Genomic DNA, 16156 nt, shown 5'->3' with positions numbered 1-16156 from the left:
AAATAGAATTCTGAATTTTATTTTTAATAATTATTTTAGTAAAGAGAATGTCTTGTTTTTTGGAGTTGTTGAATTTATTGAATTGGCAAAAATTATGTATAAGAGGTTATACAAAATGACGTGATTGAAGTATGTATACATTACAGAAATGGCTAAATCAAGTTAAATAACACTTCACAATTCAAGATTCCCTCATTTATATAATACTTCATGATTCAAGATTCCCTTATTTTTATAATTATAAATAATTATGCCTTTCCTCCATGAATGTTAGTGGGATTTTTATATTTTTATTGAGATACAATTTACCATAAAATTCATTGCCTTAAAGTGTTCTATTCAGTGGTTATCAGTGTATTCTTAAAATTGTGCACCCCTCACCATTATCTAATTCCAGAATATGTTTATAATCGCAAGAAGAAATCTCTCCTCCTCCCAGTCCTTAGCAACCACTGATCTAATTTTTGTGTCTATGTATATTCGTATTCTGGACATTTACTATGGAGAGAATAATAATTATGTGATCCTTCATGTCTGCCTTCTTTCATTTAGCATAATGTTTTCAAGATTCATCCATGTTGTGGCATAGATTCGTACTTCATTCCTTCATTCAGTGGTCATCAGTATATCCCACTTTAAGAATCCACTGATAGTCACTAAATGGAACACTCTAAAGGAATGAATTTTATAGTAAATTCTATCTCAATAAAAATATAAAACACCAACATTCATGGAGGAAAGGTGTAATTCTGTATAATTATATAAATGATGGAATCTTGAAATACATTTTAAAACGTGCTCTGAGGTAATATGCGCCTCAGAAACGATAAATAAGTCAATTGATAATCTAAATCTCAGGTATAAACCACAGTTTAATATGTATTTATTATAAAGTATTGGTGGATTTTAAAATTAATTTGGGAAAGTTAGATTGATTATTGGTGTTGGTAAAAAAAAATTTCATCGTATGGATTATTTACCATATGGTTGTTTATAACAGACTTTAATGATCCATTGTGTTTCTTTTATATCAGTTGTAATGTCTCCTGTTTTATTTCTGATTTTATTTATTTGGCATTCTCTCTTTTGTTCTTGGTTAGTCTAGCTAGCAGTTTATAAAGTCTGTTTATCTCTTCCAAAAGTCAACTTTTTGTTTCATTAATTCTTTGCATTTTTTAAATCTCGAATTCGCTGAGTTCTGCTCTGATTTTTATTATTTCTTTCCTTCTCCTTAGTTTGGATTTCATTTTTTCTTGATTTTCTTGTTCCTTGAGGTGCATAGTAGCTTGTTCATAATCTTACTATGTTCTTGCAGTAGGCATTTATTGCTATAAAATTCTCTATTAGCACTGTCTTTGTTGTATTCCATAGGTTTTGGTATGTTGTGTTTCCGTTTGCATTTATTTCAAGAACATTTGTTATTTTCTTCTTAATTTTCTCATTGACTCAATGGTTGTTCAGAAGCATGTTGTTTAATTTCCATGTTATCTGTATAGTTTCCAAAGTTCCTCCTAGTATTCATTTCTAGTTCTATTCTATTTTTGTCTAGAATATACTTGATATAATGTTGATTTTTCAAAATTTGTTGAAACTTGTTTTGTGTCTTAACATATGGTCTAGCCTGGAGAATGTTCTATCTGATGAGGAGAAGAATGTGTACTCCACTGCTATTGGATGAAATGTTCTGTAAATGTCTGTTAAGTCTATTTGGTCTGCGGTACAGATTAAATTCGATGATTATTTGTTAGCTTTCTACCTAGAATGCTGAATGTTCAATGCTGAAAGTGGGGTATTGAAGCCCTCAGTTATCATGATGTTGAGGTGTATCTCTCTCTTTACCTCTAATGACATTTTTAATATATCTAAGTATTCCACTACTGGGTACATATATATACATATTTGGAATTTTTATATCCTCTTGCTGAATTGGCCCTTTTATCATTATATGATGGCCTTCTTTGTCTCTTTTTATGTTTTTTTGCTTAAAGTCAATTTTGTCCAATATAAATATAGATGTATTAGGCCATTCTTGCATTGCTATAGGGTTATCATAAGAAAGTACCACAGAATGGGTGCCTTAAATAACAAAAGTTCATTTTCTCACAGTTGTGGATGTTATAAGTCTAAGATCAAGATGTCAGCACATTTGGTTTCTCCTGAGGCCTGTCTTGGCTTGCAGCTGGTTGCCTTCTTGCTATGTCCTCTTATGGCATTTTTTCTGTGCACATGCATTCCTGGTGTCTCTTCCTCTTCTAATAAGGACATCAGCCATATTGCACGAGGGCCATACCCTGGGAGTCTCATTTTAGCTTTATCACTCCTTAAAAAAAAAAACAAACTTATCTTCAAATATGATTACATTCTGAGATACTAAAGATTGGGACTTCAACATACAAATTTTGGAGGAACACTGCTTAGCCCATAACGATGAATTCATCAATAGACTGATATGATCAAGGAAAGAATCGGTGAGCTTAAAGAAGTTTAAATAGCAACTTCCAAAACTTAAAAGCAAAGAAAAAAGAAGTAAAAGAACAGAATATTTAATAAGTGTAGGCCAATTGCAAAAGGAACAATATATGTGTAATGAAGTATCAGGAGGAGGAGAAAGAAAGGAATAGAAGAAATATTTGAAGAAATTCTGACTGAGATTTTCCCAAAATTGAAAATAAACAAAATCTACATATCTAGGAAGCTGAGAGAGTACCAAGCAAGATAAATACAAAAAATTTAAACATAGGCATATTATATTGAAACTGCCAAAAATCAAAGACAAAAAGAAAATCTTAAAAGAAGCCAGGAGGGAAAAAAATCTTTATCTATGGACAACCAAGGATAAGAATTACATCAGACTTCTCTGAAACCACATAAGCAAAAAGAGAGGAAAGTGAAATATTTAAAATGTTTAAAAAAAAAAAGAACACTATCTTAAAACTCTCTACCTAGCAAAATTATCTTTTTTTTTTAGACAGAGTCTCACTTTGTCACCCAGGCTGGAGTGCAGTGGCAGTGACCTTGGCTCACTGCAGCCTCCGCCTCCTGGGTCCAAGCAATCTCATGCCTCAGCCAGCCACCACCACGCCTGGCTAATTTTGTATTTTTAGTAGAGACTGGGTTTCGCTAGGTTGGCCAGGCTGGTCTCGAACTCCTGACCTCAGGTGATCCGCCAGCCTTGGCCTCCCAAAGTGCCAGGATTAAAGGTGCAGGCCACCGCGCCCAGCCTACCCTTTAAATTAAAGTAAAAATACATAATTTTCTTAGGTAAACAAAAATAGAGTTTGTCACCAGTAGTCCTACCTTACAATAAAAGTGAAAAGAAATTCTTCACTCATACTCAATGGTGAAAAACTAAAAGCTTTTCTTCTAAGATCAGGAACAAAGCAAAAGTACCCCTTCTTGCCACATTTATTTAACATGATACTAAAAGTTCTAGCAAGAACAATTAGGCAAGAAAAGGAAATAAATGGCATCCAAACTGTTGGGGGGTGGGAATGAGTAAAATTATCTATTTCCAAATGACATAATTTTTTTGTAAAAAACCCTAAACTTCACTCCCCCAAAATTATTAAAACTAATAACAAATTCAGTAAAGTTGCAGGACAGAAAATCAACATACAAATATCAGTTGTGTTTCTATAGCATTAACAACAAGCAACTGGAAAGCAAGTAAAGAAAATCTCATTCATAATAGCAAGAAAAGGATAAGATACTTAAGAATAAACTTAACCAAAAAGATGAAAGACTGGTACATTAAAAATTGCAGACATTCATGAAAGAAATTAAAGAAGACACAAATCAGTGGAAAGATATCCTATGTTCGTGAATTGGAAGACATAATAATATTAAAATATCCATACTATTCAAAGCAATTTATAGATTATATACAATCCCTATCAAAATCCTAATGGCACTCTTGACAGAAATAGAAAAAACAATCTTAAAATTCATATAAAGCCACAAAGGACCTAGAAGAGTCAAAACAATGAGCAAGAAAAACAAAGCTAGGGGCATCACATTTTCTAATTTCAAAATGTATTATAAAGATAGAGTAATCAAAACTGTGTGCTACTGGCATAAAGACAGACATATAGGCGACTGGAAGAGAATAGAGGGCCCAGAAATCAACTGACACTTATACAGTCAACTGGCCTTCAACAAACATGCGAAGAATATGTAATGGGGAAAAGACGGTTTCTTCAATACATGGTACTGAGAAAACTGAATATTCACATGCAAAAGAATAAAACTGGGCCTGTATCTTACACTACACACAAAAAGCAACTCAAAATGAACTACACATTTAAACATAATTACCTGAGACTGTAAAACTTATAGAAGAAAACATAAGGAGAAACTTTCATGATGTTGGTCATGGCAATTATTTTAACTTATAAATTGTAACAAAAGGATTTGGGAAGGACTGGTAGGTTTAAAGGGAATAGTTATGGGAGATTATGGGTTATAGGCTCCTGTGCATATCTCAGTAACTTCCTCAGTAAAGAAGACATGGCCTTGAGCCCGAATACCCTGGGAAGCTGGAACTAAGACTCAACTCCTTCTGACCCCTTCTCTCAATTAAGGATTCTTTTTTTCTCATTTCACCAAGAACAGAGAAGCAACCAAAGATAGCTTTTCTATTTTTCCACCACCATATCTCTTCACATAGTTTTATCTTTATCCATAATCTACCTTCTCTTCACTGTCTGATTCAAGGCCAACCCCTCCACTTACACTAGATTCCATCCCCAATGACTTTTTCAAGAATTTAACTCCAGAAGTTAAACATTATTTCCTGCATTATGAATCTCTACACCACCCCCAAGCAGGATAATTCATTTTAGGTAGAAATATGTGGTAATAGTTCTCATTTAAAATTCTGTACATTTCCAGCTACTGCCTCATTTACTCCTCTCTTTATAGAAGAAAGCATCGTTTGTCTTTATTCAGCATCTCCACTTTTTCTCTTGCATTCTTTTGCTGTTGTTTTGTTTTTCTGGGAAAGTTCTTTAATGTTTTTAATTTGTTATAAAATATTTCAGACTTTAAAAATAAAAAGTAAATATATTGTGTCATATAATTTGTCTTCTCCTCTTAAAGCCGGAAGCTTCATTTCTAATGATGAATGTCCTTCAGAATATTATCATTGCAGACTGAAGTGCAATGCTGATGAACATGCAATTACATACTGTGCTGACTTCAGCATCTGCTGCAAACTGAAGATCATTGAAATTGACGGACAAAAGAAGTGGTGAAAATGCTAACTCCATCTTCTTCAGACTCCAGGAGCAAAAACATGTCTTAAACTCTCTTATCTACGAATAATTAACATGATGGATGAAAATTATTATAATTGCATGTTTAGATGGTCAGGTGAAAATGAATATAAATTTTATAAATGCTTACACTCTATTTTCATTTGTGCATTTTAACATTTACTCCCTTAATTTACATCCACAGCCACATTGCTGTTTCACCCATAGTACTATATCCCAGCCCTACCACTTATTAACTGTTCAAGCTTGGGCAAATTATTTCTTTTCTGTCTATCTCAGCTTCCTTATTTATAAAATGGGATAGCAATAGGTACCTACACTGTGGTACTGTTAGGATTATGTGAGTTAGTATATGTGAAGTTCTTAAACAGCGCTTGACCCTATTATAGACATTATATAAATGTTAGCTATAGTTTCATGGAACCCAAGAATTTGATCCATCCTATTCCTTTGGGGTTTTATATAATTATTCTGTGTTGCCTAAGAGTTCATGTTTGTTAAAATGTTAGGTGGTTTTGAAAATAAGGTATATTTTTCAGGTTATCAGATATATAATTTTATATAAACACAATCTATTGATGCAACATTATTCTATTCCAGTAATCTAGGACTTGATCACTAGTAGTGAGAACTAAAAAGAAAGAAGAGATACAAGGTGAATTTTAGAATTAGGATTGGCAGGATTTATTGGCCATATGATATATTGAGAAGCCATGAATGATGATTCTGAGATTTCAAAGCTGATAAAAAGATGGATGCCAATATAACTCACTAAACTAGAGAGGCAAGAAGAGAAAGTAGGTTGGGAATGTGGGGAGATTCAATAAAGAGATGTTTTGGCATAATAGGGTTTTAGTCATGTAAGGGATATGTCAGTCTACTAGGCATATTTACAAAAGTATAATTTTCTTTTTCTATAAATTAACTGAATTCCTATTAGGAACCTTATTTTGCCTGGTCACAGAAACTGAAACTTAGTCAATTCATAGTTGATCATATCTTCTCCAAGTTATTTTTAAGTTCCAAAAGAGGTAAGCAGTGATGAGGTATCTCGGAGAGCGTTTATTATGTTAACCTACTAAAACATCTTCATTCTCATCTGATCTTCTGTCACTAATCTAGGTACAACTGCTGAGTTCTGTCTCATTCTTATTTTTAATAAAATTTGTAAAGCTCTTTGGGTGAGGCCCATTCTTTGGTACATTGGTTGGTCCTGCTACTCAAGCATCATCCTAGGTCCTTAGGTTATAAGTAAGTCCCAATAAGGGCCACAAAATAGTATTTCTCTTGAACTACTTCAGAGAGCCCAGCCTCATCTCACCTCAAATTCTTTCTAAAAAGTCTTGCATCATGTCTCAGACGAGTCCTAATATGTGGCATCCACTATTTTTCTTGTCTGTTTCTCTGCCTGCAAGTGGTAATGTCCTGTTGGTAGTGGAAGCACTGGGGTTACCTCTCATTGTTGCTGTGGAAGCTGGTACCAAGTGTTTCTGATGCCTTGGCCCTTTGCGTCCCAAGACGTCTGTGAAAGAAAAGAAAGAAAGAAAAGAAAGAGAGAGAGAGAGAGAAAGAAAGAAAGAAAGAAAGAAAGAAAGAAAGAAAGAAAGAAAGAAAGAAAGAAAGAAAGAGAAAGAAAAAGAAAGAGAGAGAGAAAGAAAGAAAGAAAAAGAAAGAGAGAGAGAAAGAAAGAAAGATTCTTTAGCTTTTTCAGTGTCACTTCCTTACCATAGGTTCTAGCTCCCCAGGCCCTGGCATCTACTAATTCTTCCTGGCTGGCCCAGACTAGATTCAAAGTAGAATTTTTGCTATATTTCAGAACCCCTTTGTCCCAGGAGACAATATAGAAGAGTGGTTAATTAATTTGGGTTCTAGAATCTCTGTAAGACTTATCAGTCCCAGATGTGTGATTTTAGAAGAATTACTCAAATCTCTGCTTCAACATCTTGAAAATGTGAATTGTGAAAATGTCTAGTTAAGAGATCATTTGTAAGATTAAGTGAGGCAATATTAAAAAAAATACATACTACAATCCTTGATGCCTAAAAGTGCTCCAAATACCAGCTGTTAGGAATATATCTGCAGTAGTTCCCCACCCAGCCACAGTTCTAGTTACTTACAGTCAACCACAGTCCAAAATATTAAATACGCTGGGTGCAGTGGCTCATGCCTGTAATCCCAGCGCTTTGGGAGACCAAGGTGGGTGGATCACCTGAGGGCAGGGGTTCGAGACCAGCCTGGCCAACATGGTGAAACCCCGTCTCTACTAAAAATACTAAAATCAGCCAGGTGTGGTGGCAGGTGCCTGTAATCTCAGCTACTCAGGAGGCTGAGGCAGGAGAATCACTTGAACCTGGGAGGCAGAGGTTGCAGTGAGCCAAGATCACGCCACTGCACTCCAGCCTGGGTGACAGAGCAAGCCTCCATCTCAAAATAAATAAATAAATAAACACAAAATTCCATAAATAAACAATTCATAAGTTTTAAATTGCATGCTGTTCTGAGTAACACAAAATCTTGCACTACGCAGCTCCACACACCCAGAATGTGAATCATCCCTTTGTCCAGTGTATCCACACTGTAAACACTACCTGCCCATTAGTTATTGAAATCATATGCTTCTGAGATCCAGCCACTAACATCACCATGGCTCAGTGACCCAGCATCACCCGAAGGAGATGATCCCCCTTCTGAGCTATGGTCAGAAGATTAGCAATAGCCTAATGCTATGTCACAATGCCTATGTCGTTTTCCTCACTTCCTCTCATCACATAGGCATTATATCATCTTACATCAGCACAAGAAGAAGAGTGAGCATAGCACAGTAAGATATTTTGGGGGAGACAGAGTTCACATTCACATAACTTTTATAGTATTGTTATGATAGCATATTGTTATAATTGTTTTATTATTAGTTATTGTTATTAAAATCTTACTGTGCCAAATTTATAAATTTAACTTTATCATAGGTCTGCATGTATAGAAAAAAAGCACTGTATATATAGAGTTCAGTATTATCGACTGTTTCAAGCATCTACTGGGGGTCTTGGAACATAGCCCCATGAATAAGGAATAACTACTATATATTGTAAAGTTAAAGTATAAACCTAATATCTAGAGTTCATTTATTTATTCAACAAATATACCTTTGGCACTGATGGCCTGCTAGACTTTCAGCCCAATACTGGTGTAAAATGATAAATAAGACAGTCATGGAATCTACTCGGATTTCACAGTCTAATCAGAGACACAAATAATTGATATAGTAACAATTGTGACAAGTGCTATGAAAAAAAAAGGAATGGGTGCTGTAAAATTTGTAATGGGAAAGAGGACCATCTCTTCACAGAGGATACAGAAGCTGCTTCCTTCTGCATCTCCCACTGTTGGCTAGAATACATTTCTGTTTATTAGGATTGTCATTTGGAAAGGCTGCATATTGAATCTGTATGGCTCAGGGTCAGACAGGGACATTTCAATTGCAGCTGAGAGTATGGCAGTTGCAGAACAACCACAGATCAGGAAGATGAGAAGAGTAGCATGATGACCCTAAAGAAATACCAAACCCAGGAGGCAGAAGAAAGAGCCATCTAGTCCTAGCGTGGAGCATATTGTACTTCTCCATTTTCTAATCCCAGAGCACCATGTGGCCTTAGGGGAATATATGGATGAAAAGAAAAAGCTGGTGTGCTGGTAAGCCACATACTTGTTTTCAAATGATGCGCACATCTCCCCTCTTTATCTCTAAAGTCTATGAACTAGGTCAGCTCCCAACTCGTGGCACCTACAGTGAACCAGACGCTGAGCCAGGGGAGGTCTAGATAACAAGAGACGATCTCTGACAGTTGCTGAAATTCTTCTTTACCTTTTAGAGCAAAACTCAGAGGCTGTCCTGTTCTGATATTTAAGTAAAATCACGAATTGCTGGTAGTTGGTGACCTAGTCAGTGAACGAGCTCCTTATCAATAGTGGGAGAATGATAGTAATAGTCCGTTCTGGGGAAAAGAATTTGGCACTGTAATGGTCTTGGGGTTTTTTAACTTTGGCTTTGTAAGCAACATTATTTTTGCTTGGGTTAAAGCCTCTTCCAGCTGTTTATCAACATAGATAAAAGTATATTGCTTTATTATTTCTCCTTGAGTCATATTCAACACTTTCTTTGCATGGGCAATGCCAGTATCCCACTGAGCATGTCCTCTCTGAGGTTGAGGTTTCCAGGTCTTTTTTTCTCAGAGTGATTGCTGGCTTCTTTGGGAGCCTCAGCCAGTAATTCTTTATACTGTTTATGACCTTTATACTCCCATACCTGCTTTTCATGAACCCACGCCCTCACTGGCTGGTTGCTAAGAAATTGGACATGATATGACCAGGCACCCCTTGTGTCAATTTTAGTATGAACTTCCAGCTGGGGCTCACTTGAGACCAAGGTAGGAACCTAAGGTAGAAATGATAGGTTCCTGCCTTGGGCTTTTTCTGTTTGGTAGGTTTTTTACTACTGATTCTATTTCAGATCTCATTATTGGTTTGCTCAGGCATTCAATTTCTTTCCAGTTCAACCTTGGGAGGTTGTACTTTTCCAGGCATTTATCAGTTTCTTCTAGGCTTTGTAGCATGTGTGCATGCAGATGCTCCTAATAGTCTCTGAGGGTTTTTTGCATTTCTTTGGGGTCAGTGGTAATATCCTCTTTCTCGTTTCTGATTGTGTTTTTTTGGATCTTCTTTTTTTAGTCTAGCTAGCAGTCTAAATAAGCAGACTTATTCATTCTTTTAAAGAGCCAACTTTTGGTTTCATTAATCTTTTGTATGGGTTCATGTCTCTATTTCATTCAGTTCAGCTCTGATTTTGGTTATTTCTTTCCTCTGCTAGCTGTGGGTTGATTTGCTCTTGTTTTTTTAGTTCTTCTAAGTGTGATGTTAGGTTCTTAATTTGAGATCTCTCTAACTTTTTGGTGTAGGCATTTTCATGCTATAAATGTTCCTCTTAACACTGCTTTAGCTGTGTCTCAGGGATTCTGGTATTGTACCTTTGTTTTCATCAGTTTCAATGAACGTCTCTTTTTTATTTTTTTTATTTTTTTTTTAAGACAGCGTCTCACTCTATCACCCAGGCTTGGGTGGAGCAGGACAACCACAGCTTACTGTAGTCCCAACCCCTTAGGCGCAAGCAATTCTCCCACCTCGACCTCCCAAGTAATTGGGACTACAGTCGTGCACCATCACACCTGGCTAATTTTTTTTTTAATCTTGTAGAGACAGGGTCCCACCATGTTGCACAAGGTGGCCTTAAACTCCTGGACTCAAGTGATCCACCTTCCTTAACCTTCCAAAGTGCTAGCGTTACAGGTGTGAGCCACTGCACCTGGCCCAGTTTCAAAGAATTTCTTGATTTCTGCCTTAATTTTATCCTTTACCCAAAAGTCTTTAAGGAGCATATTGTTTAATTTCCATGTACTTGTATAGTTTTGAGAGATCTTCTTGGTATTGATTTCTATTTTTATTGCATTGCGGTCTGAGAATGTTACTGGCATGCGTTCTTTTTAATTTGTTAAGGATTGCTTTATGGCCAAGCATGTGGTTGATCTTAGAGTATGTGCCATGTACAGATGACAAGAATGTGTATTCTGTTGGTGTGTGGTGGAATGCTCCATAGATGTCTGTTAAGTCCATTTGGTCAAGTGTTGAGTTTAGGTCCTCAATATCTTTATTTGTTTTCTGCCTCAAGTATCTGCTTAACACTGTCAGTGGGGTGTCAATGTCTTTCGTTATTATTGTGTGGTTATCTAAGTCTCTTCATAGGTCTCTAAGAACTTGTTTTATAAATCTCAGTGCTCCAATATTGGGTGCATATATATTTAGGATTGTTAAGTCTTCTTTTTGAATTGAACACTTTATCATTTTGTAATGCCTTTCTTTGTCCTTTTTGATCATTGTTGCTTTTAGTCTGTTTTGTCTGAAATAAGAATAGCAACCACTGTTCTTTTTCTTTTCCATTTGCTTGCTAGATCTTTCTCCATCCCTTTCCTTTGAGGCTATGAATGTCATTGCGTGTGAGATCTCTTGATGACAACATACAGCTGTGGCCCAGCCTTTCTACTCCTGAATATTTGCAAAAGAAAAATGAAAGCATATATCCATACCATGACTTGTACATGAATGTCCATAGCAGCTTTATTTTCAATAGCCAAAAACTGGAAATAATCAAACATCAATCAATACGTGACTGGATAAACACATAGATGTATAGCCATGCAGTGGTGCTCAGCAATGAAAAGGAATGAACAACTAATTCATATTATAGCAAGGACGAATCTCAAATAATTATGCTGAGTAAAAGAAACCCAACAAGAAAGAGTATAGAATATATTATTCTATTCACATGAAATTCCAAGAAAATACAAAGTAATCTATAGTGTCAGCAGAAAAGTTGTGGCCTTTAGACTGAGAGGTGAAAGAGAATCAGGAGGGGAATATTACAGAAGGCATGAAAAAATGTTAGGGGGAATGGATATGTTCATTATTTTGAATGTGACAATGGTCTCACAAACGTATAGATATGGCAAAACTTATCCGATTGTACACTTTACTGTTTGAAGTTTATTGTATGTCACTTATACTTCAATAAAAAATGTTTTTTTAAATAGTAACAATTATTTTAAATGACCTTGACAAAATATTGTGCAACACTTAAAAATACTATTTATGAAGTTTATAGTGACACTGATATATAGTATATATCAAGTTACAAAAGCAGGATACCTAATTATAAGAATATTGTTTATAGCTATGTAAAACAAAATATTAAACAACAAACTAGGCATAAATGAAACTTTCTTTAGAATGACAGTTTGTCTCTGAGAAGAGCAGTTCATCTGTAACTTGTCCATCCTTGTCATGTTTAATATTTTACCAATTTTCTAAAATTAGCAATTACATTTTTATTGGAACAAAAGCCTATCAAATTTTAATTTTACTCATTTAAAAGAGTAAGAGCACATAGTTCTCAGGCCTCCATGTACTTTTGGAAAACCTGGGTGGGAGAACAGTGTCTTTGTCAATAGGAAAAGCTGTCAAACAAGAAAGGGCTGTCCATTTTTTTTCCTCAGATGAGCATTGCCAACACGGCTGCCTCAGGGGTGTTCAGTGTAGCATATCTACCTGAAGCGAGGCATACCCCAGCCCTGAGAGGTTTGTATAGGACTGTGTGCTCAACCTCTTCTCTCTGTTCCCTGACAGCCGATGTCAGACCCTGCCACTAGCCTCCTTAACAGAAGTTCCCAGCCATGAAGCCTCTCCTTGTTGTGTTTGTCTTTCTTTTCCTTTGGGATCCAGTGCTGGCAGGTAAAACTGGCATATTTTGGGGGGTAGGGGTGCTTCATATAGAAGAACAATGCCACTAAACAACCCAATAAACATACACCACCCATGGGCCCTTTAATTTTCAAGCTAGAAAAAAGCATCAACTAGTTTTGATGTCAGCAAGACCTGGGCTTGAATCTGGCTGTCCAACTTGTTAACTATATAACTTTGGACAAAGGTCTAAGCTTCTCTGAGCCTTAGTTTCCTTTTTTTTTTTGGCTGAACTGATCCGCACCAATGAGCCTTAGTTTCTTCATTTGAAAAATGGAAATATGGAAATGAAGAGTCTCACAAGGATTAAATCAGATCATGTATGGAATATGTCCATACATAATATGAAAAGTACCTGGCTCATGAGAGCTATCATTGTATTTTCATTAGTAATGCCCATCCTGTCTTCCTGCTGTTATTTTGTCTCTAATTCAAGAATGTATCTAAGTATAATAGTCAAAACCAGAAAATAGTGACAACACAATTTGTTAATTTTCTAATATACTGCAGTTTCCTACAGTTAATTTACTATTTGTGAATCCATTAGTTACATGAGGAAACAGATTTAGAACGGCTAGTTTCAAGAGAATCACTGAGCTTTATGTGATAGAAGAAATGCCTGATCAGATGAGATAGCAGCCAGGGAGACATGACAGAGAGTGTGAGTGGCCCTGTGCTCTAGCTTCACCATATCCTTTCCGACTTTAGCAATCTCATCTGGAAAATTCTTTTCACTCAGTGTTACTGAATCAGTCCAGTCAGATTGGTTCATCTGCCTAGATGGACTGAAGTGTTTGCCTGAAGTATTCTCCAGGCAAATGAATCACATCTTCAGATTATGTGACTCACCAGGCTAAATTTAAGAATTCATGGGATCAAGGCCTCTTAAAGCTGCTGATGCAACCAATTCCATTACGGTTTATGGCAATGGATTTGTGGCCTCCAGACAAAGAACCCCATATAGTGTACAATATTCCCTTCAATTCCTTTTGCATTCTCATAACTTGTCATTTCCATTGAAAGTTCTTGTCTCATTTTATAGACCATTATATTTCATCTTCCCAAAAGTGTTACAGATTGTCCTCTAGGGCTTCTGTCTTGCAAACTAAGTAACACTGATCCCTTCTTGTTCATGTAGGACAATTATCCTCCAGGGCATTATGACTCAGATAGGGTATGTGTTTGCTCAAAATTTCTACAGATTCCTTGAGCTTCAATAAGACTTCTCAAATCTTCAGAATTGATTTCATCCTCCTTCAAACTCACAAGACCGTTCCACATTGCAAATACATCATTGCACTTGTCATGTTTTTTCCTCTCTCAGAGATATTTTGTATTTCTTCTCTTTTTGTCTAGAATGAAAATTCATTGAGGTTAAGGTCTATATCATACTCAAATCTGTACCCCAACAGTCCTTGATTCACAGGATTTATAAAAATTGGTTTATGAATAATAATGAGTAAGTAATTATTTAAAAAATAATGAATGAATGACTATGTGAATAGCTAGCTTGATTGTTTGGGTTATATTCATTGACAAATTCAGGGAAACTTCCAAATTATTACTTGTTTTAGTCAGCTTGGGCTGCGATAACAAAATTCCGCACACTGTGGCTTAGACAAACTTTATTTTCTCATAGTTCCAGAAGATGAGAAATCCAAGATCAAGGTGCTAGCTGATTCAATTTCTGATGAGAGCTTGCTTTCAAGCTTGTAGATGGCCATCTTTTTGCCGTGACCTTCACTAATAAGACCATCAATCCTATTGGATTAGCCTATCAATCTTATTGGATTAGGGTTCCACCATCATGACCTCATTTAACTTATATTACTTCCTGAAGGCCCTATCTCTAAAGACAGTCACATCAGGGGTGAGGGTTTCAGCATATGAATTTTGGGGTGACACAATTCAGCCCCTACCACTAATTAATTTTTTCAGTTACAGGATCAATTATCATAACCAAATCTCCTTGGTATCCGGTTGGATAAAAATTGAGGGACTAGCAATTTTATGGTCCAAAAAGGCCTGTAGTGAATTATCTTTCTATTCATTTTCCTTCCAGGTATAAATTCATTATCATCAGAAATGCACAAGAAATGCTATAAAAATGGCATCTGCAGACTTGAATGCTATGAGAGTGAAATGTTAGTTGCCTACTGTATGTTTCAGCTGGAGTGCTGTGTCAAAGGAAATCCTGCACCCTGACATAAGAAACCAATGAATGGCCACTATCCTGTAGGCCCTTGATTCTGCCATCTTTCACAAAACCAGGGAATTTAGATCAAACTGTGACACCATGATGTGTCCATGACTACTGGTTTTTAGCATTTTTATAGGCCAGCAGACTCTTGTGGTCTTAAATTTAAAGAGCTGAGCTGTAGCCTTCTTTAAAAGAGCTCGGTTTTTCACAAAAACAATGTAGAAGATATTTTCTCACCTCAACGTGATGTCCAGTGTGCTCATCAGCACCTGTTTCTCCCTCTAATCATAGAGGATATTCTTATTATTTAGAAAGGCTTCAAGGGAAACAACTTTTGACACCTAAGTCGTGTCCTACCTTCGCTTCAGCTTCGCATTTCCCATTTCTGTGAAATTCCCAACTTTAGAGAAGCAGATTTGCCATGGCCTTCTGACAACCTTGTACATCTCTCACATAAACCGCATAGGCAGGGCTTAACTACAGGCTGGCCCGAGTCTGCACTGAGTCTGACCCTGAAGTTCCTTTGGAACAGGAGAGGCCATCTTGTGATGGGCTGGAACAAGGTAATTTCTCATCCACCTCCCTAGTTTCAGTTGAGCAATGGAACTTCCCACCTGAGCCCCTAGGGTTCAGCTACAGGCTATAAGACTGCCGTCCTGTGGTTTAGTGTTGGTTCCTTAGCAGCAGAGTGATGCCACCTCTGCTGCCCGTCATCTGACTCCTCTGGATGGGTGTTATCCTGTGGCTTAAGAGCTAACACCATGCTGATCTTGCTTTGCTATATGTGTAACTAATAAACTGCCTAAATGCATTTGGACTCATGATTTTCTTTACCAATAAACTTTATGAAGGTGTAACAGGAAAACTTAGCAACTTCTGTCATGTTGCTTCTGACCCTACTGGCTACGCTGGTGAATTCTTGCTTGATTTTTCAACAACATTCACCCTTATGGATGCATGAATGTGTGAGTTCTGTATCTGCTGCTCACGATAAAGACTGGGTGGCAAAGGAGAGTAGATTCTGGCTATGGAGCAACTTTCATGATCTTCAGTGCTCGATATGGCTCAGGCTCTCTAGTGATGTGAGACTGAGAGTGTGGGGCTCTTGCCGCAAATAGCTGGTTGCTGATGTGGTACAAGGAAAAGGATACAGCGTCTTAGTTCTGGGGCTGACATGACAGTACTGCCTGCCCAACCACACATGGCTGCTGGGAAGGGATGAAAAGAGAACAGCAGGTGAAAAAGCATGAGGGGTTGTAAGGAGTTCTGTACTTCCAGCAAATGTCCAACCTTTGAGCAAATTCAGTGTTGGTGTCTTTGGAGAGGAAGGTACTAAAAA

The 16156-nt window shown here is 36.7% G+C and overlaps 1 protein-coding gene, 1 long non-coding RNA gene and 3 pseudogenes across 4 annotated transcripts; 3 read left to right on the top strand and 2 right to left on the bottom strand.

The window, feature by feature from the left end:
• OR7E160P (olfactory receptor family 7 subfamily E member 160 pseudogene) overlaps positions 1 to 11196 on the top strand; it is a 37035-nt pseudogene extending 25839 nt beyond the window's left edge.
• On the bottom strand, positions 2220 to 6669 carry LOC105379245 (uncharacterized). The gene is made up of 3 exons (XR_001745644.2): positions 6595 to 6669; positions 5187 to 5312; positions 2220 to 2320 (listed from the first exon to the last, which is right to left on the bottom strand). It is a non-coding gene; the product is annotated as an uncharacterized LOC105379245 (long non-coding RNA).
• DEFB131E (defensin beta 131E (pseudogene)) lies at positions 4720 to 5402 on the top strand (annotated as a pseudogene).
• DEFB134 (defensin beta 134) lies at positions 8050 to 15628 on the top strand. Of its 3 annotated transcripts, none has more exons than NM_001302695.2 (3): positions 8050 to 8094; positions 12504 to 12608; positions 14680 to 15628. In NM_001302695.2, the coding sequence occupies exons 2-3, from the start codon at positions 12551 to 12553 to the stop codon at positions 14820 to 14822; spliced, it is 201 nt and encodes a 66-aa protein (NP_001289624.1). In that variant the 5' UTR covers positions 8050 to 8094; positions 12504 to 12550; the 3' UTR covers positions 14823 to 15628. The 3 variants fall into 3 exon arrangements, with proteins under 3 accessions (NP_001289624.1, XP_016869213.1, XP_047278031.1); XM_017013724.1 differs by lacking the exon at positions 8050 to 8094 and adding an exon at positions 8212 to 8963; XM_047422075.1 differs by lacking the exon at positions 8050 to 8094 and having other exon boundaries at positions 12486 to 12608.
• Positions 9297 to 9972, bottom strand: LOC100421446 (nuclear receptor binding SET domain protein 3 pseudogene; annotated as a pseudogene).
• Positions 15629 to 16156: the final 528 nt, after the last annotated feature.

This window comes from Homo sapiens, chromosome 8 (assembly GCF_000001405.40).
Source record: "Homo sapiens chromosome 8, GRCh38.p14 Primary Assembly".
Classification (NCBI taxonomy): Eukaryota; Metazoa; Chordata; class Mammalia; order Primates; family Hominidae; genus Homo; species Homo sapiens.
This window is presented reverse-complemented; position numbering and strand designations above follow the sequence as displayed.